Source organism: Homo sapiens, chromosome 12, assembly GCF_000001405.40.
Source record: "Homo sapiens chromosome 12, GRCh38.p14 Primary Assembly".
Lineage (NCBI taxonomy): Eukaryota > Metazoa > Chordata > Mammalia > Primates > Hominidae > Homo > Homo sapiens.
The window spans coordinates 127,613,259-127,638,981 of record NC_000012.12 but is presented as its reverse complement, the minus strand read 5'-3'; the positions used below and the strand labels follow the sequence as shown (position 1 = coordinate 127,638,981).

General features: G+C 42.7%; 2 long non-coding RNA genes and 1 pseudogene across 2 annotated transcripts, besides 1 other annotated feature; 1 reads left to right on the top strand and 2 right to left on the bottom strand.

Annotated features, from left to right (window-relative positions):
- Positions 1-25,639, bottom strand: LOC124903051 (uncharacterized). The gene is made up of 3 exons (XR_007063524.1): positions 25,507-25,639; positions 14,629-21,524; positions 1-1,323 (listed from the first exon to the last, which is right to left on the bottom strand). It is a non-coding gene; the product is annotated as an uncharacterized LOC124903051 (long non-coding RNA).
- Positions 2,515-7,713, top strand: LINC02411 (long intergenic non-protein coding RNA 2411). Its single transcript, NR_120451.1, has 4 exons — positions 2,515-2,580; positions 2,864-3,038; positions 3,580-3,624; positions 7,277-7,713. It is a non-coding gene; the product is annotated as a long intergenic non-protein coding RNA 2411 (long non-coding RNA).
- On the bottom strand, positions 12,646-14,829 carry LOC100420119 (transmembrane protein 132B pseudogene; annotated as a pseudogene).
- Positions 14,503-15,702: an enhancer, noted in NCBI's record as "BRD4-independent group 4 enhancer chr12:128107825-128109024 (GRCh37/hg19 assembly coordinates)". NCBI's record gives its function as "activates an origin of replication core promoter dependent on BRD2, P300/CBP, MED14 and CDK7 cofactors, and independent of BRD4, by STARR-seq in HCT116 cells {active_cell/tissue: HCT116}" and the evidence as "EXISTENCE:reporter gene assay evidence [ECO:0000049][PMID:35650434]".
- Positions 25,640-25,723: the final 84 nt, after the last annotated feature.

Here is a 25,723-nt window from a genome sequence, read left to right as displayed (position 1 = left end):
GTTTATTTATCCCTTGCAAGGGCTGGTAGTACTTCTGTACTTCTATCATTTGATACTATTAATTTTGAAATATTTTATTCGCTTACCAGATATTTTCTTAATTTATACCTTGTCCTTGTCCAAATTATCATAAATTTCAAATGAAGGGCATTTGAGTTAATAAGATTTATGAACCGCAAAGTGGTTTTAGAGATCAAAGGAAAGTTTAATCAGGTCTAGGTATATGTAGAAAGCTCTTTCTTTGCCTCTTCTCAGTTGTTTTCCCTTTTTTTTTTTTTCTGATACAACTCACAGACTTGAGAGGATTTCCAAACTCCTTTGTCAAAGACGTGTAACTAAATCCTGGTCAAAGATACCTGTGAGGACATCTCAACGGGCACATCTGTAAGGGGATTCTTCCGTAATTAGTGAGATGCACATGTAGAAACCTGACTTTGTCCTTCTTTTGACCATGGTTGTGTGAATACAGTTGTATGGTTGTCTGATGCTAGGAGCTCTGGTAGCCATTTTAGGGCATGAGGTGGCAATATAAGGACCAAGCCAGTAGTCAGAAGAAACTGGAACAGGGGGATGGAAAAAGCCTGGGTGTTGGAAGACACTGGAGAGTTTCTGAACCAAACACATGGATGTGTGGCTTTAGGTATCTTGTTGTAGGAAAAAATATAACTTAGTCTTGGAAATCCTCTACTTGAGTATTTTTTAGTTGGCAATAACACAAGGTCACACTGGAAGAGGGTTTCCAATGAAACTGATTTTCTAAAGCTGAAGTTCCAGAACCTGAAATACATAGACAGAATATATTCTGGGTTCCCATGTAGGATTCCCAGAGGCCCTACAAGTTTTTAAAAAAATTAATAAAATATAGAATATTTCTTATTGTTTTGGCATGAAATTGACCTTAGCATAACTACTAGTTCTTTGCCACTGCAAATATTGACGCTTTTCCATGCATGTGTGAGTATAGATTTCTTCCATGGCACAAACTCAGCAAAGTGCACAGACCTCTCCCTTCCTTCTATTCAGCATTTTGAGCTCTGGGCTAGACATGTGAGACAGAGAGTTTCAATAAAGAAAGACTGATAAATGCAGTCAAAACCATTGGGATCTGGAATTGATTTATGGAGGTGGGGAAATCTGGCTTATTTCTTTCTGTTTCCAGTGAAAATCACAACTTTCTAATGCCACAGTATTTTGGAATATCTCATAAGAAAAACATAAAATTACCTTTTTTTTGGTAAGTGGCCTTAAAAAAATCTCCAAACTATATTAGCAAACTGAGCATATGAAAATTATTTTCCAGTTCAGATATATCAATTCTTCCCCCTAAAAGAAAAACAAAAACCAAATCAAGCTGAAACTGAGCTTCCTCCGTATTTTCCATGATTTTATTGGGCTTGTAAAAAGTAGAGGTTTTATTAAACTGTAAGACCATGGCAGATGGAGAAAGTATAATTTAGGGAGAGTAAATGAGCTGGGTTTTATATGCCTCCAGTATTTAAGGCATTGAAAAATATCTAAATAATTGGAAAATGATGCATTGTAGACACCAGGCTATTTCTCAGCTGAACGGCTAATAATCACTCCTTCCAGACTTCGAGATGTGTGTGTTTCCTCTAATGATGAGGAGTTAAAAATAACACTCCTGATTCTTCCTCCTGATGGGCAGGTCCCTTGCCACCAGGCATTCCACAAGAGGGAGGGTTGCAGGGATCTCCAAAAGAGCCCCACAATAAAACAAATGTGCATGTTCATCACATTATTCAAATGAAACATTAATTATTTCAGAACTTGCTCCAAATGTTCCCAAGCCTGGCTCATGATAATGAGCTCCTGGGCTTTTGTCTTACAGCTCACTGTTAATGTCATGCTAAATGGACTGCAACTGGACATGCTGCTTGGATGAATATTTATGTGCTGGAATGTTGTTTGATCTGGGGTTTCAGGGCCTGATGACATAGCTCATTTCCCTTCTCCCCTCCCCAGCTCGGCAGCTCCTTTCTCATCCATTTTTGTGGGGTAAAATACATGGTGCTGGCATAAGCTTCTGGTGCTACAACGAACACCAAGGGGTTTCTTAGCTCAAGGGGCTGATGTTAGGGTTTCCTCTACTTTACACATATGGAACGACTCTAATACTTAAGCCAGCCACTGCACTTTGTGGATGACACAAGAAAAGGGACTGAATGGTCTCTGGCACTACATTTTGTAGCTGTAGCAGCAGCCTCATTCTCATGACCCAAGGGCAGTGGTGGACTTCCATGTGGGATTATTGGAATGAACCATGGAATAGGAGGAAGGCTTGGATCCTAATCATAGCTCTTCCCTCAATTCACTGAGGGTTTATGGGCCAGTTCTAATGGCCAGGGTTCTTATCTGCAAAATGAAACACTAATATTCTGACCTAGCTGCCTCCAAGTTTCTTGAAAGGGTAAAATAATAGGACTGTGGGAAGTTATTTCCCAAGATAAGTAGCACCTGCAACTTTAAGTCAACATCTACCCCCAATCAATTGTGAGGTCAGACCAGGAAGACAGAGGCCAAACCCAGCATCACACTTTGACCTGCCCGGGAACACAGTGGGTAAGAGAAGAAAACATGGAGAATTATTTTACAGCTGTGATGTTGTCAATTGTACAATATCTACTCCAATTTCCTCCCATCTTTGAGATGACTGATAAGAATGCCTTATGTGTCACACAGGATCATAACACAAACTTTCTTCTCTTTCCTGATGCCCCTCTCAAATTTACTCAGTAGGGGGAACTTCACCTTCTCCTATGTAAATGGGCTTTTCTGCTTATGTTTAAATAATAGGCCATTGTGTGGCAAACAACTCTATCAAAAGTTGTGTCTTTTACCCTAGCTCCTGGGAAATAACCACTAAAGTCTTGAAATGTCTTGAGTGATTGGAGGACCTTTATTTTTCACGCCTGATGCCTTATGCTGATGAGATGACTCAGCAGGGGATGGCCAGGCCAGAAAGACCAAAACTGTATCCTGAGGTTTGAGTTTCTGAGCCAGGTGATGTCATCCTCCAGGTAAGGAAGGGGGACCGAAAACTGAGTTTAACCATGCGATCCATGGTTCAATAAATCATATCCACGCAGTTCAGCCCCAATACAAACTCTGCACATTGCAGCTCAGGCGAGCTTCCTGGTGGGCACCACTCTGTGTGTACTGTCATACATCATAGCCTGAAGAAGGCAACACTGTCAAGGCCTTCATGAGGAAAGGACTCTGGAGCTTCGCCTTGGACCCCTCCTTATGGGTCTCATCCTTTGCTTGGTTCTAAATTTGAATCATTTCACTAAACAAAACTGTACTCATAAGGATAGCACTTTTCTGGGATCTGAGCATCATCCCAGTAAAGTGTTAAAACACAAGGTAGTTTACAGAAACCTCTATGCTGGGAGTTGGTGTCAGAAGTGTCTTGTGGGATCAGTCCCTCAACCTGTGCAGCTTGCCTACCTCTTCACATCCACCCATGGCCAGCTTGGTTAATGAACACAGTCTCACTGTCCCAGATACAGATCCAAACTATGTCCTTGATTTAACTGCAGACTTTCTCTCCTTCTCTAGCTTGGCCGGCCTCTTTCTGGGAGCCTCTGGTGTGAAAGAGAGCAGGTAAGGGATTAGGGAAGGTTGTACTTGAGCTGTTAATTTAGTAAAAGAACATATGCTCTCCAATCCAGCACATGTTCACGCTGCTTCTTTGGTCTTGTCAGAAGATCCCTGTTGGGTTAAGCTCATCTCTTGCTGTTTCCATGACCTACGTGAACACATCACTGGTCCAGCAGGTCACTAGCTCCTCATTTGCTAACCCATAGAAATCTCTACCTCATTCTCCTTCCATGCATTGCTGCGTTCATGCAGACGCCTTATCAGTCTCCTGGGAACTTCACTCCAATTCTCTCTCAAACCTATTCTAGAAGCCCAGAACTAATTCATTGCTCTGAGACAATAGACTGTAGCTGAGGACTAATGACTGGTGTGCAAACTAATTTGTGAGAGGACGGCCTGATATTTAGATACATATTATAGATAAGCAATGCTGTCAACATTAATTTCCCACTGATACAGCATAAAAGCCATTTCCCCCCAAGAGCCCAGGTATAATTAGGGAAAGTGAAAGTGTGTATCTTTCATAGGGTTTTATAACCATTTCTTTGTTCCTGGTTTTGATCATTTTTGTTATTTAATTTTTCACTTCCAGTGCTTGCCTTTCCCATGTCTAGGAGTTTGCCTAAATCTTCAAAGATATGTGAGGCTTGCCTAGAACATCATCATCAGGAATGCTGGTCCTTCAATTTGTTTTTTGAATTGAAGTGTAGTTTACAGTGATCAAGTTGAAAATAAGGCTCTGCATGAAAGCTAACTATTAAAAGGGTGTGGGCACAGGAGCAACCAACACAGACCCCACAGAATCCCAAACCTATGCTAAGAGGGAGCACTTCCATCCCTCCAAACCTGTGCTAAGAGGGACACCTCCATCCTTCTAAGCCTGTGCTAAGAGGGAACACCTCCATCCTTCCAAACCTGTGATAGGAGGGAGCATCTCCATCCTTCTGAACCTGTGCTAAGAGGAAACACCTCCATCCTTCCAAACCTGTGATAGGAGGGAGCACCTCCATCCTTCCGAACCTGTGCTAAGAGGGACACCTCCATCCTTCCAAGCCTGTGCTAAGAGGGAGCACCTCCATCCTTCCAAACCTGTGATAGGAGGGAGCACCTCCATCCTTCCAAGCCTGTGCTAAGAGGGAGCACCTCCATCCTTCCAAACCTGTGATAGGAGGGAGCACCTCCATCCTTCCGAACCTGTGCTAAGAGGGACACCTCCATCCTTCCAAGCCTGTGCTAAGAAGGAGCACCTCCATCCTTCCATCTGGCAACCCCACATCTTTCTGTGCAGCATTGGCTCATGGAGTTTTGCACAATCTGTTGCCTTAATGCAGCTGTGAGGTGGTAAACCCCATGCCATTGCACAGCTGTGCTGGTGGAGTCTTCAACAACAGAGGGATGAAACGAGAGTGCTGAGTGATGGGTGGAGTGTGCTCACAGAAGCCAGCTGTGCTTGCCCCACTCCCACCCAAAATGTTTACCCACGTGGGAAATGCCTGCCCTGCATAGGAGTACCCAAGGAACCCAGGATATAAAGAAACTTCTAAAATGGATCTGAAAGGGGGAAGAGCCCTCCCCTGTAAGGAAGCGAGAGAGGTAGGAATTAAGTGCCTTATACAGGCAGTGTCTACACTTGCACATTTTTGCTATTTAATTTGTTGGGTCAGATTTCATCATAAAAGTAAGGAGGTATTTAATTCTCAATTTGCAATAAAATATAAAAGTTAAGAGTGCCTGTTTTTTTACATGACTTTAGGTCTAAGAAATAGAGGGAACAGTGTCAGGTCAATGGTGATTTAAGCCATCCTAAAACAAAGTAAAATACTCTTAAATGAGGAGAGGAGGCAGTCTCTCACAGACCCTACATTTCAAATTGTTCATCTCATCATATAGCCCTTTAATCCCAGTGACTAAAAGGGCTGCCCCTACTCTTAGCCTCTGCAGTGTCTAAAGAGATGATCCTGAACCTAAAATAAAATTAAAATATTTCATCTAAATAAATAACCCAAAGCAACAGTTAAAGCCAGAGATATTTTCAAGCTCTCCTAAAACACGAAGATTGGCTTGTTTTTTCTATGGATAACATCCCAGCCTTCTTAGGGTGAGAGGAATATGTCCCTGATGGGTTTGAAAACCTCCTGGGTTGTTAATTCCCGTCAAGAAAGTATTAGTGTCCCGCTGGTTTCCAGCAAGGGGAGGGGTTTACATTAATCTATTTTCTACACTTTTCTATATATTTTATTTTTTCTAAAAAACAAACATCTCCCACCGTAACCCATATAAATTATCTAAATACATAAAGAAATTTTCAGTAACTGTTAAGAACTTCAATATCAAAATATTTTCAATGCAGTGTTTGCATTTTGCAAATAAACTCCCAAACACAAAGTGTTTTTCTTTTCTGAATCTTATTTCAAAATGTCTCTGTTCCTTCTTTCTTTGAATCCAATTATACTAAAAGCTATACATACATGCTGAGATCTGGGAAAAACTCTCGGTGGCCAGCAGCTTGGCTCTCCTGTTTTCCCGTAGAAAAAGAACAGGATGAAGCTATTAGTGAAAACGGTGTTTTTTTCTAGTTGTAGGAAGTAATGTCGATAGGGAAGAAAGGGCTCGTAAGTATGGGAGAGCATTTTGCCTCCTATTCTATCGACTCTTTGAAGCATGCAAGCACGCTGCTCCACAGGCTTAGCTGCACAGAGACGCACTACTCCATTTACTCATGGGCTGCCCGTGGGGCTTGGCGAAAGAGCAGGCTTGGCTTAGGGGAACTACTGAGACACATCCAGGTATTCAAACCGTGGGTTGCCAAGACTTCTCTTTTCATCCTGAGAGTATGGAATAACATTTGCTAAAATGTCAAAGGTGATGCTGGCAGTTTTGGGAGACGCAGAGATGGCTGAGAGTCTGCGGGGGCTTGGCAAGTGCACGCACCAGTCTCCCAGCTGACACATCTACAGAAACCTTCAGGGAGCAAAACAGAATCCAGGGTCATTTTGCACTTTTCTTATGTCTGAGTAGGTCTTCCTGTTCCACAGCATCAGCATCCCAGGGAACTTGGACCCATATAAATCCCTCCCCTCGATATGCACACATGCAACACTTAAACACACAAACATATATGCACATACAAACATACAAATGCATGTGCATACACACATAAATATATAATACACATCAGACACTCATCCAAGCACACAAGCACATGCCATACATAATACATAAATGCACATACAACCACACACACACACAGTACACATACAGTTACCATATGCAAACATCCAAGACATACACACATACACACCATATATACACACATACATAGACACCCACATAAATACACACACACACACACACACACACACACACACACATACACGCATACACACATCTAAGCCATGAACAAATACAGCCCAATAGTGGAACAGGGATAACCATCAAGTAGACATGGAATATTAACTTTGGCTCTGAGTTTCAGTCTGGTTTGGCCCCTGAGCTGGGGTATAAGAAATACTCTACCTCTTCCTTTCTTTAACACTATGGGATATGCATCTGCAAATACCATTTGGCTGGCTACTATGAGAATAAATAAAATGCCTCTTGAAGGTAAAATTTCTACATGCTTTTAACACTTTTAAGTTCATATTTATCTTTTCAGATTTATTAAAAATCATCAACTTCAAATTATTTGGATGGAAACATTGCCAAATCATAGAGATGTTTGCTACCACCCGCACACCAAGCAGCTGGGTAACTAGAAGTGCAGGATCAGCTTATTCACCTCCGAAAGCCTGCATGCAACCACTGAGGCCGCCTCTATTTTTTACATAGTTCTACTTGGTGTATGTAACCCCACAGAGAAACCTGGAAGAATGCATGAAACCTAGTAAGGCAACCAGCACATGCAACAGAATGAACCGTTTCTTTCCATCTGAATGCCTAAATGTGGACTCTGATCCTTTCTACCAAGTCCTAAGTTTGGGAAAAGAGGACAAGGACAGGGGCTCTGTCCCATATCATAATGTGCTTGTGAATGGCTAAAATTACAATGCTGAGATAAGTGTGTGTAATAAAATAATTGCACCCCGAATTGAAGAATGTTTCACTGTTTATTTTCATGTTTCAATATATGACACCCTGTGGTGGAAAGATGTCTTTATGCTGGAATATGAACTCTTTTCACTGCTGAAGTAAGTCCAGGAAAAATAAAATCACAAGGAAAACAGAGAGACTAGAACATGCCAATGATACCAGCAACCATCCCAAACGTGGGCCAGATATTTAAATGCAGTGCATTTTACCTTGTCCTCTCGAAATGCCTCCTCCCCTTTCATTTAAATATTTCAGAGTTCGATGGCCGTGCGTTTAAAATCTACACCTTTGCATGCTTTTACTTGAAAGCATCCTTGTTCCAATATACATTTTAGTGTTTCAGTATGCTGTATCCATTACATAAATGGAACTCTATAGTCAATATTTTAGCATAATGTTCCACTATCCTTTTAAATTAGTACTCTTTGTAAAGTAGAGAATATGTGTTATATTAGTCAAGTGTGGTTTTAACTGGGGAAATGGCTGTTTAGATGGGAAGGCACATATGCTATGCTTACACAGACAGAGAAGGGGAGGACTGAGGCTATTAAATGAAGAGAAAAGGATAGTTTGAATGCGTGTCGAGATGGGATGCAATTATTCTCCCTACTGCTAATGGACTTGGTTAACCCTGATGGGTCCAGCCTGCATTTTTTATTTGTTTCTTCTTCTTCTTAGTTTATTTTATTTATTGTATTGTGTTTTATTTTATTCCCATCTTTATTGAAGTATAGTCAACAAAGTTCTTTACATGGGCCTGGGCAATGATTTTTTGAATAGGACTCTAAAAGTACAGACAACAGAAGCAAAACACATAGATGGGAATGCATCGAATCCAGAATCCCCCAAGTCCATGGAAAAGTTGTCTGGTTCCCAAAAGATTAGGGACCACTGATCTAGAGCACAGGAACTGACATCTCACATACTCAAATCTTTTAAGCTGCATGGTCTTATTGAAGCATTTGGACTTCTGCACCCAAAGCATTTTGTAAATGCTTCAATAAGCATTTGGACTTCTGTACCTGAAGCATTTGCAAATGAAAGAATTCTGAGATGATGTCAGGAGTTCTAGTATCTGCCTCAAGATCTGAACCACTGCATCCTGGAGAAAAGGAAGGGACTTTATGCCAGATTTTGGATGAAATTGTTTTTCCAGATCAAAAGTTTGGATACCTCATCCACTAAGATCCTACTTGATTCAGGCAAATATCTTAGGACCCACCAAAAAGCTGCATCTCAGAATCTAATAATTCATGTTCATTTTTCCATATTGGTTTATGTTCTTCGGAGTGCAATACATATTCTGTTTGAGGAAAACAAGGGTAAATATAACCCATGGTTTCTAATTGGCAAGAAACATTTAGAGAAGAAAAGACATTAATAAAATTATATTAACCTGATGAAAGTCAATGGCAAACCTGAGAAAAAATGAAGAATCACAATCCAATGAACTGCAGCCTTTTGTTGAGTTTTTGACGAGGAGCTGAAAAAGTTCTGGCACAAGGAAAATCGGTGACTGCACGGGAGAGACTCTCAGTGAGCACTTCTGTCATCTCTAGATGTTCTCTTGACAGAGCTCTCTTTGAAAAAGTGGTGCAGTTTCCAGCTTGGATGAGAACTTCTGCCACATCATCGTACTGAGTTTGCTTCCTGTACCACACTGAGCCCTCTCGCCATGGGAACTGTTATACTTCAGGCTGCCTTAATTGGGTTTTTCATCACTAAGGTGATATCCATTTTCTCTCCCACCCACCAGGCAAGCTCTCCCCATCCAACCCCCAAATTCTACAAAGTCCCCGTTTCCAGAGGGATCTGTCCTGGCTGACGGTGTATGACTCATCCTGTAATGGGGTTTTGAGGATCTGGTTTCAGAAATGAATTCTCATTATGCCTGGGCCAAATGTCAAGCATTAAAAAGGAGAGACCATGGAAAGTAACTTTGAGAGGCAGCAGGTTTCATTTGAATAATTATATCTCAATTAGCATGTACTTCTCTCTGCCACGTGGGGCTGTCTCCCCAGGGAACACTGCAGAAACCGTGGAGCTGTACCCTGGCTAGCAGAGGAGCTCTGACTACAAGCGCTAGTCATCTTTTTAAATAATCTGTTTACAGCAAATGTCTTGGGTCTCCTGGCTTCACTGGAATTGAAAAAGAAAATCAAGTGTTACCAACTTCACCTTCCAACTACAATTTGAACATCTACAGGACTCACTGAACACCCGCTCATGGTGACAGACACACATCACTCATGATTTGCACACAGACCCTAGACTCACCATGGACCCATGGACTAGAGATACAGGAAGAACTTCTTGTCTACTAATGTGATGAGATCATCAGGGAAGAGAGCCTGGGATGCTTCCATCCATGGACATCTATAATTGGAGGATGGCTGCACTCTATTTTGAATAACTGAGTCATCAGCCTCTTGAAGTCATGGAGCTACCTCAGATGACTCCTGCGAGTCTTTCCAATGCCTGCTCCTTAAAACTCTATTGCTTAGAGAAGAAATGGTTTAACGGAGACTCTCATAAGCCAGTCTAGATCAATATCTGTCTCAGCAGCCGATCCATCTTTACAGATACATTTTTTATTAAATCTTCCTGCTCTTGCATTCTTGCTCTGTGTAGGATCATTTCTGTGGTTAATTCAGAAACATTTTCTATTTTAAAAGTAATGCAGAAACTATGCAATTTTTTTCTTTGTCACTTTGATTTACAGTACCTGTGTTTTTCCTGAAAATTGCTTCTCAATTTTTAGAATGTCTATTCACTTCTATGATTTTTTTTTTTTTGCACTACCTGCCAGTTTCTCCCTCAGTGAGCATACTATGAATGTTTTCCCTCTACCGGAAAGACAATTGTGAATATTTTCTGGTCACCCTACAGGTGGATATCTACATACTGGTAAATAGAAACATTCTTCTATATATTTATTTTTATTGTTGTTCAAGCAAATGGAAAGTCTCAGCTGCAGATGTTTCCCAGGCAGTTTCATGTTTGTGCATATCAATACTATTTTTAGATTTCATGTTGGATACCGAGATATGATGCCTACAAAATGTTTGCATATGTAGAGCTAATAGTATTTTAATTGGGAGATTTTAACCCCCCAAAATATTAGCTCTCCATGAAGTTACAACTACCAGAGAGGAAAAATATATATATATGTATATGGTTCTCAGTGTTTCCCCAAACTCTACAAGGTTTATCTAAAAATCATTTATAAACTAGTACTTTTTTATTGTACACTCACATGTTAAATAAAACTTCTTGTCCAATTCATATACAAAAGATTTCTGGAGGTTATCATCCTTAGCAAACTAATGCAGGAACAGACAACCAAATACTGCATGCTCTCACTTAGAAGTGGGAGCTAAATGATAAGAACTTATGAATGCAAAGAAGGAAACAACAGACACTGAAGTGTACCTGAGGAGGAGGGGAGGAGGAGAGAGAGGAGCAGAAAAAATAAGTACTGGGTACTGAACTTAATATCTTGGTGATGTAACAATATGTACAACAACCCCCAACAACACGTGCTCATCTATGTAACAAACTTTCACATGTATCCCCAAGTCTAAAATAACAATTAAAACAGACAAAAACAAAAACAAAAAAAAACCCTCAGGATTTCAAAAAGGGAAACAGGAAAAGATAAAGTCGGGATAAGAATTTAGGTACTGCCCCTGAACACTTATGTGAGGAAAAGTGGAAAAAAACTGACAGCCAGCATGGATACCCAGTAAATGACATGAAAAATCCCAGGAAATAAAACATATATGCCAATCAAACAGATTCTTGAAATAAACATTGATTTAGTGTTTCCTATTCCTATTTCCAGAAAAATTACACAGGCCAAAGAAATTAGCTGCTAATGCATACACAGGGAGGGTATAGGAAGAGATGGATGAGGTACACTCAGAGTCATGTAGTACACCCTGCAGTACCCCGCAGCACCCTCCAGCACCCTGCAGCACCCTCCAGCACCCTTCAGCAGCACCCTGCTGTGCACTCCAGCACCCTCTAGCACTTTCCAGCAGCCTCCAGCACCCTCCAGCACCCTCTGCCACCCTGAAGCAACCTCCAGCATCCTGCAGTACACTGCAGCACCCTCCACTACCCTCTGGCAGCCACTCCTTAGTCCCAGCCTTTTGCCCAAGTACTCAAAACAAGAGCAGTGCTCATTCCAAATAAGGGTGGTAACATTCCATTATCTTTTATATGCACCTACTCTCAGGCCAAGGACAAGCGGTGGCCACTATGCTTCGCAAGAGATTAAGAATAGAAAAATCAATACCCAAATCCTTTCTAATTCCAAGTGGCTGTTTACCCGCAGATGACTAGTAACATCAAAAGTCTTAGATTTATTGTATAGCACTGGTTCCAGGAAGTATGTGAAAATGTTGTCCTATGATGTTTCCAGCATCTCCTTGTCATTGTCTGGGGCACACCCTCACTTAAAAGCCATCTTCTTCAAACCTCTGTTACCTGCCTAGAAAGGGATCCTACAAGACTTCCACAAATTAGGCTTTGCTAAATCATCCTCTATTGACGATAAAACTCACCACTTCACTATTTAAGAAACCAAAAGATATGCAGATGAATACAAACATAAGAAAGAAGTTTACATCTGGTCTTGCAGTTTTCCCATATTAAATAGTCCCTTGGCATCCACGGGACATTGGTTTCAGGAACCCCGTGGATACCAAAATCCAAGGATGTTCAAGTCCCTCATATAAAATGGTGCAATATTTGCAGATAACCTCTGTACATCTTCCGCTATACTTTAAATCACCTTCCCCTATACTTTAAATCATCTGCAGATAACCTATGCACATCTTCCCCTATATTTTAAATCATCTTTACATACTTATTCTATGTAAATATTGTTTATGCTGCATTATTTTAAATTTTCATTGTTTTTATTGTTGTATTGTTACTTTTCATTGTTTTTGGGGGGACTATTTTTCAATTTGAGATTCCTTGAATCCACAAATTTGGAACCGCAAATGCAGAGGGCCAACTGCAGTCTCCAAAGTCCTGGGATTTCCCCAGCTGCATACCTTGGCAGACCCACTTGATGATATCATCACTGTCAAACAGGACAGAGTTGTATATGGCCCACTGTCCCCTCAGAGGATGCTGGTGTAGGAAGTAAACTTGACTCTTTTCTTCATCGCGAACCTGAAAAGCTCACTAATCATCATTTCTAATTTAAACAAGGGCACCTGTCCTTCACCTTCTGCAAACACTACCAACCATTTGGACTCAAGGTTTGCCTGGACAGACACCACCATTTCATCCAATGATAAGACAGCAACTGAAAAATCCTCAGGTTAATAAATCTCTAAAGAGATCACGGGACAAAATCAACTGAGCAAACCATCACTGAACAACATCCAAGGACTATTGCTTCCTAAAGAAAGTGAAACCAACGCAGGTTCTTTCAAATTTGTGAACATGTGCACAAATGTGGTCTCCTATAAAATACGTTTTCTGCATAACAAGGAAAATAAGCTTCTGTGTTTCAGAATCCAGAACAGTGGCTGTCATATATTCAACTGACATCAATAATAGTTTCTAGCTCCAGTGGTGCAAGGAAAAAAGATATACTTTAATGAATTCAGTCATGTGTATATTAACTGATTGAATGTCATATAACAGAATGTGACTTTGACGTTTCCAAAAGAGTTTGAAAGATCACATGACACATTTGAATCAATTTCAGGTGCAACTAATCAGGCTCAAGACAAGATCCTGTCAAGCATTTTTATTAGGAAGCCATGCTAAAAGTATCTGAGGAAAGATGCATTATGGGAGATTGGCATGCTTGAAGACACAGTGAACTTGGGATAATTGAAACAGATTGGCTTCAAGTTCAAAGATGGGTCTGTGGTTTAAGAGTTGTTAATAATTAATATAAACCAACAGGAATTGGTGCCTTTTAGCCTGTAAACCAAAAATAAAATTTGAAGGCCTCCCACTCATCGCTCCAGCATCTAAATGAACTTCCTCCTCGCCAGAGTACTGTAAAATTTAATCTGAAAAACTGGTTCAGGCCATGACGGGAAGTGGGGATCCAACACGCCTCATTATGCCCCTCCAGCATTAACATCGACACAAATCTTAAATTTGATAAGAAACATTTGCAATTTATTCTCTCTAAAGCCTGCAACCTGGAGGCTTCATCTGCATGATAAAACCTAGATCTCCACAACTCCTTATCCTAACCCAGACATTCCTTTCTATTGATAATAACTCAACAACTCTTTCAACTAATTGCCAATCAGAATATATATAAATCTACCTATCAACTGGAAGCTCCCCCTACCTTCCAGTTGTCCTGCCCTTCCAGATGGAACCAATGTAAATCTTACATGTACTGAGGGATGTCTCGCATCTTCCTAAAATGCATAAAAACGAGCTGTACCCCAACTACCTTGGGCACATGTTGTCAAGACCTCCTGAGGCTGTGTCACAGGTTCGTCCTTAACCTTGGCTAAATGAACTTCCTAAATCGACTGAGACCTGTCTCAGATATTTGGGATTTGCAAGCTCTATTTGTTTAAATTGCTGAAATAGAATTTCAGGAATCAAATATAATTTGTTCTAGAAAAGTGAAAACACGTGATCCTTTGGTCATGGTCTAGCAGCAGGCTGTGCCTGGCACAGATAAGCCCAGGGGAAAGCAAATGGCGTATAGGGATGTGGTGGGTGGAAAAGCACATAAGAGAAAATGTGTCTAAGCCACTGAATACTTTTCTCAGAGACAGGGTAGCCTGGATAAGAAGCAAGAAGCTTCAAGAATCCCCAGTCCTAGGCGTGAGGGCTGTCCTGCTCTCCTTCGCAGGATGTGCTAACTGAGAGAGAAGTCATCTCCACTGACCAGGGACGCAGGGCCCCTGGAATGCTCACCTGCTGTGGGGACAGAAGAACATCCAGGGCAGCGGCTGTGGAGACGATGGCCCTTTTGTCTGCTCGGTGTGGCTGCAGGGAGAGAGACATGCCAGCTACGAGCTGCACTCCCAGCTCCACGATGGCGACTCGGTCATCCAGGACAATCACCGTCTTCTCAGCCAGGATGGAGTCAGACAACGGCGAGAGGACCTGAAAAGTCAGCGAGGAGACTCATGCATCTCTGCTCCTCATGAGTACCACGAATCCCTTAACTGGGGCTCCCAACAAAGTGCTCTCCCAGCCCTCAGCTCAATGCATGCACCTGTGGGAATCGGTTAGGAAAGTGTTATGCTGTTGTTCAATCACACTTAACACTTGCAGGAGTTTTATAAAGATCATCTTGGTCTATTTACTTTCCTCTGATTTATGCCATGATATCAGCAGTGTATTATTCATGAGTTTTCCGGGAAAGGGGTGGACAATTCCCAGAACTGAAGGTTCCTCCCCTTTTTAGACCATATAGGGGAACTTCCTGATGTTGCCATGGCATTTGTAAACTGTCATGGTGCTGGTGGGAGTGTCTTTTAGCATGCTAGTGTATTATAATTAGCCTATAATGAGCAGTGAGGACAAACAGAGGTCACATCATTGCCATCTTGGTTTTGGTGGGATTTGGCTGGCTTCTTTAATGCAAACTGTTTTATCAGCAAGGTCTTTATGACATGTACCTTGTGCCAACCTCCTATCTCATCCTGTGACTTAGAATGCCTCACCTCCTAGGAATGCAGCCCAGCCAGTCTCAGCCTCATTTTACCCAGCTCCTGTTCAAGATGGAGTCGCTCTGGTTCAAATGCCTGTGACACATCCACCTATTCACTCACCAATCTGTCTATTCGCCAGGTTACTAGGGTGCTGTTTACCGGGCGCTAGAACTGCTCAAAACTCAGAAGGCAAAGATATTGTCTCTTCCCTTCACCCTGCCTTCTCCAAAGCAGAAACCACAAGCCCCTGACAGGCTGTTATAAGATGAAGAGTCTACGTCAGTGGTTCCTCAACTGTGCTGCAGATTAGAATCACCTGGGAGACCTTCTAAATCGCCCAATGACCAGGTTCAGGTCCTAGCAATTAAGCCAGAATGTCAGAGGGTGGGAGCCAGGAATAGGCATGTTTTAAGAGCTCTTGGTAATTCCACTGTGCAGAAACAGCTTGGGAAACACTGGTTTGAGCTACAGATTGAAACAAACCTAGTTCATTTTGTAACCGAGAACCCCTAATTTACTAGGAGATAGTTGTTTTATTATTTTATCTTCTTTTCTCCTCCTTCCCTTTTCCCAGTTTCCTACTTATCCCTTTAGAAATACAAATATAATCTTTTACCTCCCCCTCATCAGACAATTCCTACAAGCCAAGTTCATCTAACTATGTGCTGTCAAAGAGATCTTTCCTCGTGTATTCACTGACCTCTCCTCACTAGAAATCCTGTAAAAAGACAACAACTTCAGAAAAAAATTGAGGAAAAGTGGCATATGTTAGCTTCCGTTTCTAGTTTAAGAATCAAGGCCAAAGACAGAGCAATGGACAGAGAGACATCACAGCAGGATATAGGACAAGTTCCTGAAGGCCCAGGAGCCCATCATTGCAGCCACTTTTCCTGGAATAGCATGCTCCTGACAGGCAGAGCAGAGCAGGTTTAGAAGAGGTGCTAGCAAGCTAAGGTACACAGACCAGCTCCTGGCTCCCATCAGTTTTTACAAATAAAGTTTTATTAGAAAACATTCACATCCATTTCTTTACACGTTGGCTGCTTCTATGCTACAATAGCAGAGGTGATAGTTGTGAGAGAGACCATCTGGTCAGTAATACTCTAAAATTACTTTCTGGCCCTCCACTAAAAAATTATGCCAAGCGTAAGCATTGATACCAAACTGCTTAAGCCCCAATCTCTTAAAACTCATGGCATAAACTTTGTGTGCCTTGAATTCTTTCTCTAGAGCATGGGATTATTACAGAATTCACCTTGTAGTGACAGAGGCAGGAGGCAGAGAAATCCTAGGCCGACAGGGATGGGTTCCTGGTGAAACCCCATCTTCAAGCCAAAGACAGTTTAAAGCCTGAAGGTCAAGCTACAAGTCAAATCCACAGACTGGATTGAGAACCCGTCTTCCTGTTTGGTGTGCTTTCCTTGGATGGATCCCCACCCTTCACCTATTTCACATATATCTACACTAACTGCCTTTACACTCTGTCCACCTCTGACTGGTGGCTTTAACCTTTTTTGCATACTCGCAAACCAGTTAGCACACACTCCCCTATCCCGTGCCTATAAAAGCCCCAGACTCAGACACACTGAGAGAGATGAACTGACTTCAGGAGAGATGACCCAACCTTCCTGTTCCCTCTCTGCTGAGAGCTGTTTCATTACTCAAGAAAATTCTCCACCTTTACTACCCTTCAATTGTCAGCATGACTTCATTCTTCTTGGATGCTGGACAAGAGCTTGGGACTCAGTGAACGTGGGTACCCAGAAAGGCTGTAACACTGGCCCTTTGCCCTCACCAGTGGAGGGCAGCTGCCCCATGCAACAGAAGCAGCCATGGGGGGAGGTAGCCGGCCCTGGAGCCACACCAGTCCCAGAGCCACGGGTCAGAGCAGGGCAAGAGGCTGGCTGAGGGGCTAACACACCACCATTTGTCGAGCTGCAGGAAGGCGGTGGAACTAAAAGTGCTCATTAGCACACTGTAACACCCCCTCTGGGGCTTCCGGGTCATGAGCACCCCTGCCTGGGCCCTGCCACCTTCCCCTGGGGGTGATATGCCCTGTCTGGCCACGGGCCTTACATGTAGTTTGCTCCTGTGTCAGCACTCCGGACAGCCTGCCAGACCCTGCGCTCACTCCCTTGTGTGCTCCCTCCCACCAGGGGCTGAGCATGGCAGGCTGAGCAGATGGGGTGCCCCCTGCAACGAGTCCAGCAAAGGGGCCAAGAAAAATCCTGCATCAGTAGGACTGTTTTAAAAATTAATTGATTCTTGCAAAATGTTGTTTGGAGTAGTCTCTGGTATGTCATCAGCTCTTGGAAAAACATTAGCTACTATCATCAATTCCTATATACTCGATTTCTAACCATGGGCTATTCCCAATCACCTGCTGTCTCTCACAGAGCATCAGAATCACCCCCCGTGCTCAGTCCACTCACTAAGCAGGACTCTGTTCCAGTTCTTTCATAGCTTTTTAAGCCTAAGCAGCTGCCAAGCTGGGAGATGAGCAGAGTGGCCATTAGCAGCAAACTCTGTCTTCTCAAATAATACCATCCACTTAAGTGGCTGTTAGACTTTATAGGATATAAACATGTTCCTCTCTAATTCACTTTCTGTTTACACAACAGAATAAGCACTTTATCCCCTCATTTCAGCTTTTCTTCTCCCTGAAAAATCAGATATTCAGCCCCAGGCAGTTATCTGTTCTCTCATTAGCCCCCATGCTGAGAGATTCATTGTCTCAAAAATGCTTGATTTCATGAGCTGATCACTATTTCTAAAGTCAAAGTGAAACAACAACACAACAACAAAAATCACTTATTTATGATAGTGTTTAGAAAGCTTTTTTTCTTTTCTTCTTCATCTATCTCTTCCATGGCCCCAGGGTATTTATACCATGTCTCTCGTTATAGACTCTCTGCAATACCAGTTATGGATGTGCTATTATAAAAGGAAATTTTTGTTGCTGTAATTTGTTTTGTGGCAATGTTAGCAACCAAGAAGCTGCAAGCACACTGTTCTAATCTGGGCCACCTTGTTTCTTGATGGAGTGTTTGGACTAAGTAAACACATGAGAGCAGTTTCTAAAAGAAGCAGCCTAGAAAACAAGCCCTGAGCCCCACCGGCTTCCCACTCCTCATATTTCATCACCAGCCTCGCCTTGGGGGTAATGGCTCTAACATCCAGAATGCCAACTCTCCTGATTTGTCAACAGAAATCTAGCCTTTTAAGTGAAATCTTTAAAAATATATAAACAGCTGAATTTTCTTTTATAAAAATGTTTTTCAGGCCAAACTAAATACATATAAGGGTCAGCTTTGGCCAAAGGACCAATATATTTAGGAATTTGGGTTTAAAATATCAGGCTCTGCCTGTGAGCTTTGGACCCGCCAACCACAGGGCATTTATCCAAACTGGATGGGTCACAGCTTTCTCCTCCGGAAATGTGCCTATTACACTTGCCTCCAATCTACCCGATATTGTCACAGGGAAGAAGGAGACATTGCTTGCTAATCCAGTGGCAAGGAGGCAAATGAGCTTACTTCCCAAGCCTCTTCCCTGCCACAGTTTTGCAAATGCAAAAGAGGGTTGGGAGAGAGACAGTAGTCACCCGCCTTTCAGCCAGGGATTGAGGAAGGATTCACCAATTGACTATTAAATCATTGTTGATTATTTAAAAGGCAAAACAGCCAGGAGTGGTGGCTCACATCTCTAATCCCAGCACTTCGGGAGGCCGAGGCGGGCAGATCACCTGAGGCCAGGAGTTTGAGACCAGCCTGGCCAACATAATGAAACCCCGTCTCTACCAAAAATACAAAAAAAATTAGCCAGGTGCAGTGGCACACGCCTGTAATCCCAGCTACTTGGGAGGTTGAGGAATGAGAATCTTTTGAACCCAGGATGCGGAGGTTGCAGTGAGCCAAGATCACACCACTGCACTCCAGCCTGGGTAACAGAGCAAGGCTGTGTCTCAAAAAACAAAACAAAACAAAAAACCTGAAAATAGAAATCACTATCCATTGGCTTGAAATGGTTCCAAATTCCAACATCTTCATTCTTTGGGGCCATTTACATCTCTACAGAAATGTTTTCTCTGAGCTTATGATGCTAAAGATTGACAAAATACACCTCCCCTATCACCATCCTGCCCAGTTAAAAAATTCCTGCTGGGCTGGTCCTAAGGTAGCGAGTTATCTCAATCGACTGTTCACAGTCAGTTACAGATCAACCTCCTTGTTCTACTCTTTCCCTTCTTCCACTACTCCACTTGACTAGTCTAAAAATAAATAAATAAACATAAATTGTTGCTGGAGGAGCAAATTAAGAAAAAAATACTAAAAATGCTTGAAATATATCTTTGGAACTTATTTGCATTCCTCCCTTATTCCTCTGTCTTGACTTCTTCCTCTTTTCCTCAGTCCTCATCTCTTCCTGCCCCATGTGACAACCCAGATTCTGGCCTTCACCAGTTTTTACAAGTAAAGTTTTATTAGAACACATACATAACCCATTCTTTTTTCTTAACTTTTAAGTTCAGGGTTACATGTGCCACTTTGTTACATAGGTATACATGTGTCATAGGGGTTTGTTATACAGATTATTTTATCACCCAGGTACTAAGCTTACTACCCATTAGTTATTTTTCCTGATCCTCTCCCCACTCCCACCCTCCACCCTCCAATAGGCCCAAGTGTGTGCTGTTCCCCTCTATGTATCCATGTGTTCTCATCATTTAGCTCCTGCTTATAAGTGAAAACATGCAATATTTGGTTTTCTGTTCTTGTGTTTGTTTGCTAAGGATAAGGACCTCCAGTTCCATCCATGTTCCTGCACAGGATATGATCTCATTGTTTTTCATGGCTGCATAGTATGCCATAGTGTATATGTACCACATCGTCTTTATCCAATCTATCATTGATGGGCATTTAAGTTGACAGCTATTCTTTTATACATTGGCTATGGCTGCTTTTATGTTACAACAGCAGAGGCACTAGTTGTGACACAGACTATTTGAACACTAATATTCCAAAATATTTACCATCTGGCTCTCTATCAAAAAATTATGCCAAGCATAAGCTTTGACACAAAACCACTTGGGCCCAAATCTCTTACTGCTCATGAACTAAACTCTTGGTGCCTTGAATTCTTTATCTAGAGAGTGGGATTATAACAGAATTCATCTTACAGGATTGTGCTAAGAATTAAGTTATTTGACTCCTGCAAAACGGGGCCTATATGCCTCTGCTATTCTGGGTTCTATGCTCTCTTGCTCTTCTGTTGAAAATGTATGTGTTCACCGGGCATAGCGGCTCACGCCTGTAATCCCAGCACTTTGGGAGGCAGAGGCAGGCAGATCATGAGGTCAGGAGATCAAGACAATCCTGGCTAACACAGTGAAACCCCACCTCTACTGAAAATACAAAAAATTAACCAGGCATGGTGGTGTGTCCCAAGTTGGTTGCTTCCAGTGAATGAAGAATGAAGCCGCAGACCTTTGCAGTGAGTGTTACAGCTCTTAAAGGTGGCACGGGCCCAAAGAGTGAGCAGTAGCAAGGTTTATTGTGAAGAGCGAAAGAACAAAGCTTCCACAGTGTGGAAGGGGATGCAAGCAGGTTGCCTCTGCTGGCTGGGGTAGCCAGCTTTTATTCCCTTATTTGTCCCCTCCTATGTTCTGTTTTTGTCCTGTCAGAGTGCCCTTTTTTCAATCCTCCCTGAGATTGGCTACTTTTGGGATCCTGATGTTTGGTGCATTTTACAGAGCGCTGATTGTGCATTTTTCAATTCTCTTGCTAGTTACAGAGCACTGATTGGTGCATTTTTACAGAGCACTGATTGGTGACTTTTACAATCTCCTTCTAAGACAGAAAAGATCTCCAAGCCCCCACTTGACCCAGGAAGTCCAGCTGGCTTCACCTCTCAATCCCCCCTCTAAACAGGACACCCCAACTGCTGTTGGGAATTGGGTGATGACTGCTCTAGCTACTTTCTGCTGGATAGGGATGAAGAAGGGGCCCTGCAGTTGTAGTGTCCTCCAGAGGGGAACTCTCTAGGCCAGTCAAAGGGCCAGTGGGTTGGTCCAGGGGTTCTTGGTAGAAGTTGTGAGTTGAGCTCATTTGGGGTTCCATTCGTAGGAACATCTGTAGCTTGATGGCCTTGATCCTGGAGGAAACAAATTTGACAAGGAGGTTAAAAATACAGGGCCCGAAGGTGAGTAATAGCAAGATGGCTGTCACAGGACCTAGAAAGGGGAGAAGCCATGTCACCCAACTCCAGAGGTTGGTATAAGAGTTTGAAAGGCATTGTCTGATTTCAGAAGACTTTTCCTATAAATGCTGGATGGTGTCTCCTGTTATCCCTGACTTGTTAGTGTAAAAACAACACTCTTCCCCTAAGAAGGTGCAGAGTCCTCCTTTCTTAGCAGTGAGGAGGTCTAGGCCTCGACGGTTTTGGAGAGTCACTGCTGCCAAAGAATCTATTTGGGATTGTAGAATAAGGATAGATTTTGTTGTTTCTTGCAAACTGTCTGAGAAGTCCTTTGAGAGTGTGTGGTAGTAAGATAATGAAGTAGATAAACTGGCTATTCTGGTTCCTGTAGCAGTGGCCATTCCTAACCCTGTAAGTAGGGGTATTAGTCGTATGGCCCTGTGCTGATGAACTTGAGCTTTGAGGGGGCACTGATAGGGTCTAATTTCCTGGGGCAATGTCAATGTTGGGACTTAGGAAGACTAAGGTGCAGGTGCCTGTCCAGTTGGTGGGGAGGCAGATATAGGTTTAAGTTTCACATAAGAATATACCTTGGCTGGGTAGACAGAACTGGTTGTTGTGTATGTTAAAAAAAAGTGTGTGAATTTGTTGTTTTCATTTTCCCATACTCCTAGAGTACTTGCCAAGGTAGCTGCGGTGAGCGGCTGGAAAGGGGTGTTAGGAGCAAACTGAGTGTCTCCCTGTGTTCTATTTTTCCCATTGGAGAAAATACCATTTTGTATTTGACATCCTTCGGGTAGGTTTTTAAGGTTTTGTTGGTATTTTGCCAAAGAAATGATATCTTTGACCAAGTTGGCCATTTCCTGATCAAGTAAGAAGTAATTTGTGAGAAAAAGTCGTCCATATAGCATTTCATATGGACTGAACCCCATTTTGTGAGGAGAATTTCAAATTCTCAGCAAGGCCATGGACAAGAGAGTAAGCCATGGGAGATGAGCTTCTTGTGTTAGTTTCCTTAAGTGCCTCTTGAGTATTTCATTTGCTTTCTTGACCTTCCCTGAGGATTGTGGCCTCCAGGTGTAGTGAAGGTGATATTGTATCCCTAGTGCCCTGGAATTTCCCTGAGTTATCGTGGCTTTAAAAAATGGACCATTGTCACTCTGTAAGCTTTGGGGAAGCCCAAATCTAGGAATTATTTCATGAGTTAGGACTTTAACCACTTCCTGAGAATTCTCTGTCTGGCAGGCGAAGGCTTCTATCCAATTTGTAAATGTATCAACACAAACAAACAAGTATTGAAATCCCCTTGAATTAGGCATATGGGTGAAGTCTAACTGCCAGTCCTCTTCGGGATAGTGCCCTATTCTTTGTTCCCCCAGAGGTGCCCTACGATGGAACAAGGGATTATTCCTTTGGCACACCTCATAGGCTTTGACTACTTGTCCGATGGTCTGGAGGAGATTTGGCCCTGTAAATAAGGATTTGGCCATTTGATGAGGGCTTTTAATACCCATATAAAAAGTTTGGTGGAGGGTCTTAACTATTTTCCACTGGCTGGCTTTAGGTATGAGTACCTTTCCCTTTTCTGCCATTAACCACCCCGAGGGGAGAAAACTACGCCCCTGTGAAAGTCCCCATTCTGTTTTGGTCAGGGAATACTGGGGCTTAATCTCTTGGAGAGGGTTGTTCCATACCAAGGGTCCTTCCCTTGGTATTTCTAATGGGAGGTTCTGCCTGGCAGCAATTTTGGCCTCAGTGTCTGCCTGACGGTTTCCTTCTGCCTTTCCTCCTACACTTTTTTGATGGCTTTGGCAGTGTAAGACTTCCTCTTCCTTGGGTTTTTGCACTGTGTGCAATAACTCCATAATTTCCCTATGGTATTTAATGGGGGCTCCACCAGAGGTTTGAAACTCCCTTTCTTTCCATATTGCAGCATGGGCATGGAGTATTAGATAAGCATACTTGCTATCTGTATACACATTTATTCTTTTTCCCTTTCCCAGTTCTAAGGCTCAGGTAAGTGCTGCTAGCTCTGCTGAGTGTTGGTCCCTGGGGGAAGAGGCTTACCTTCAAGTACCGTTACATCACTAACTATGGCATAACCTGCCCTTCATATCCCATTCTCCACAAATGAACTTCCACTGGAGTACAGGTTAAGGTCAAGATTAGCTAAGGGGACTTCTATGAGATCCTCTTGGGTGGCATAAGTCTGGGCTACAATTTGTTGGCAGTCATGCTCGATTGGTTCCCCATCCTCTGGGAGAAAAGCGGCAGGGTTGAGGGCCACACATGTGTGTATTTGAAGTATCAGTCCCTCAAGGAGTAGCTAAGCAGGTGGTTGTCTGATAACCATAAACTTCCTTTGGCACCTAGTATGCCATTTACATCATGAGTAGTCCAGACAGTGAGATCCTTTCCTTGTATTATTTTGATAGCCTCTGATATTAAGATGGCCACTGCTGCAACTACCCATAAACAGTGAGGCCAGCCTTTTGCTACTTCATAAGTTTCCTTACTTACGTATGCCACTGGTTGTGGGGTTGTCCCACGAGTCTGAGAAAGGACTCCGAGAACTATCCCCACTCTCTCTGTGATGCATAAAGAGAAGTTTTGTTCTGTGGGAAGGCTTAAGGCTAGAGCTTGTAACTAGGGCCTGCTTTAAGGTTTTGAAGGCTGTTTCTGCCTCTGGTTCCCATTCTACTAGATGAGTATTTGCCCTCTGGGTCTCTTTGATTAGAGTATAGAGTGGCCTGGCCATCTCACTGTATCCAGGGATCCATAGTCAGCAAAAGTTGGTGATCCCAAGGAACTCCCACAACTGTTTTAATGTCTTAGGGTGAGGACAAGCCAGTATAGGCTGTATTCGTTCCTTGCTGAGGGCCCTGGTTCCTCTGGCTAAGACTAGGCCTAGATATTTGACTTGTTGTAGGCAGAGCTGGGCCTTCAATTTAGACACTTTGTACCCTTGATTAGTTAGAAAGTTCAAGAGATCTAAAGTAGCCTGCTGGCATGAGGCTTCTGAGCTGGTAGCCAAAAGTAAATCATTCACATACTGAAGGATCAGAGTGCCTGGACTTGAGAAGTGGCCTAGATCTTGGACCAGTGCCTGACCAAACAGATGAGGGCTATTGCTAAACCCTTAAGGCAAGACTGTCCATGTAAGTTGGGTTGTGTGGTCTGTGGGATCCTCAAAGGCAAAGAGAAACTGGGAGTCAGAGTGCAGGGGAATGCAGAAGAAAGCATCCTTGAGGTCTGGAACTGTGAACCATTCTGCTTCTTCTCTTTTTGAGAGAGCAGGGTGTAAGGGTTGGGTACAACTGGATATAGAGGAATTACTGCCTCATTGATGAGTCTAAGATCTTGCATTAGTCTCCACTGACCATTCAGTTTTTGTACTCCTAGAAATGGGGTGTTGCAGGGACTGTTGCATTTTCTTAATAAGCCTTAAGCTTTTAAATGTCTAACAATATTGTGTAATCCTTTATGAGCTTCAGACCTTAAGGGATATTGCCTTTAATAAGGAAAAGTGGTGGAGTCTCTTAGCCTGATTTGAACTGGGTGGGCATTTTTTTGCCCTTCCGAATTGTCCTTCCAATGCCCAGACTTCAGGGTTGATTCCCTCCTCAAATAGGGGACAACAAATGGGCAATTTGTTCCTCACATTGATGTAGATAATAGTTCCAGCTTTGGCTAATATGTCTATCCCTAATAAGGGTATGGGACTTTTATCCATAACAAGAAAGGCATGTGAAAAGACCAAAGTCTCCCAATTACAACTGAGGAGGTGGGAGAAATACCTGGTTACAGGCTGTCCCAGGATTCCTTGGATGGTAACTGACCTTGAGGAAAACTGTCCAGGGCAGGAGATTAACACTGAGAAGGCTGTGCCAGTGTCCAGGAAGAAGTCAATTTTCTGGCCCTCAATGGTTAAACTTACCCACGGCTCAGTGAGGGTGATGACATGAGCTCGGGAACCCTCAGTCCTGTCGTTGGATCATCTGATTGGGAGCTTCTGGCCCAGAGAACCTTTGTCCTCTGGGGCAGTGTGCCTTCCAGTGATCACCTTGGCATAGTGGACATGGGCAAGGGGGCGGCTTGTTTCTCATTGGACAATCTTTTTTAAGGTGCCCTTGTAAACCACACTGATAACAAGC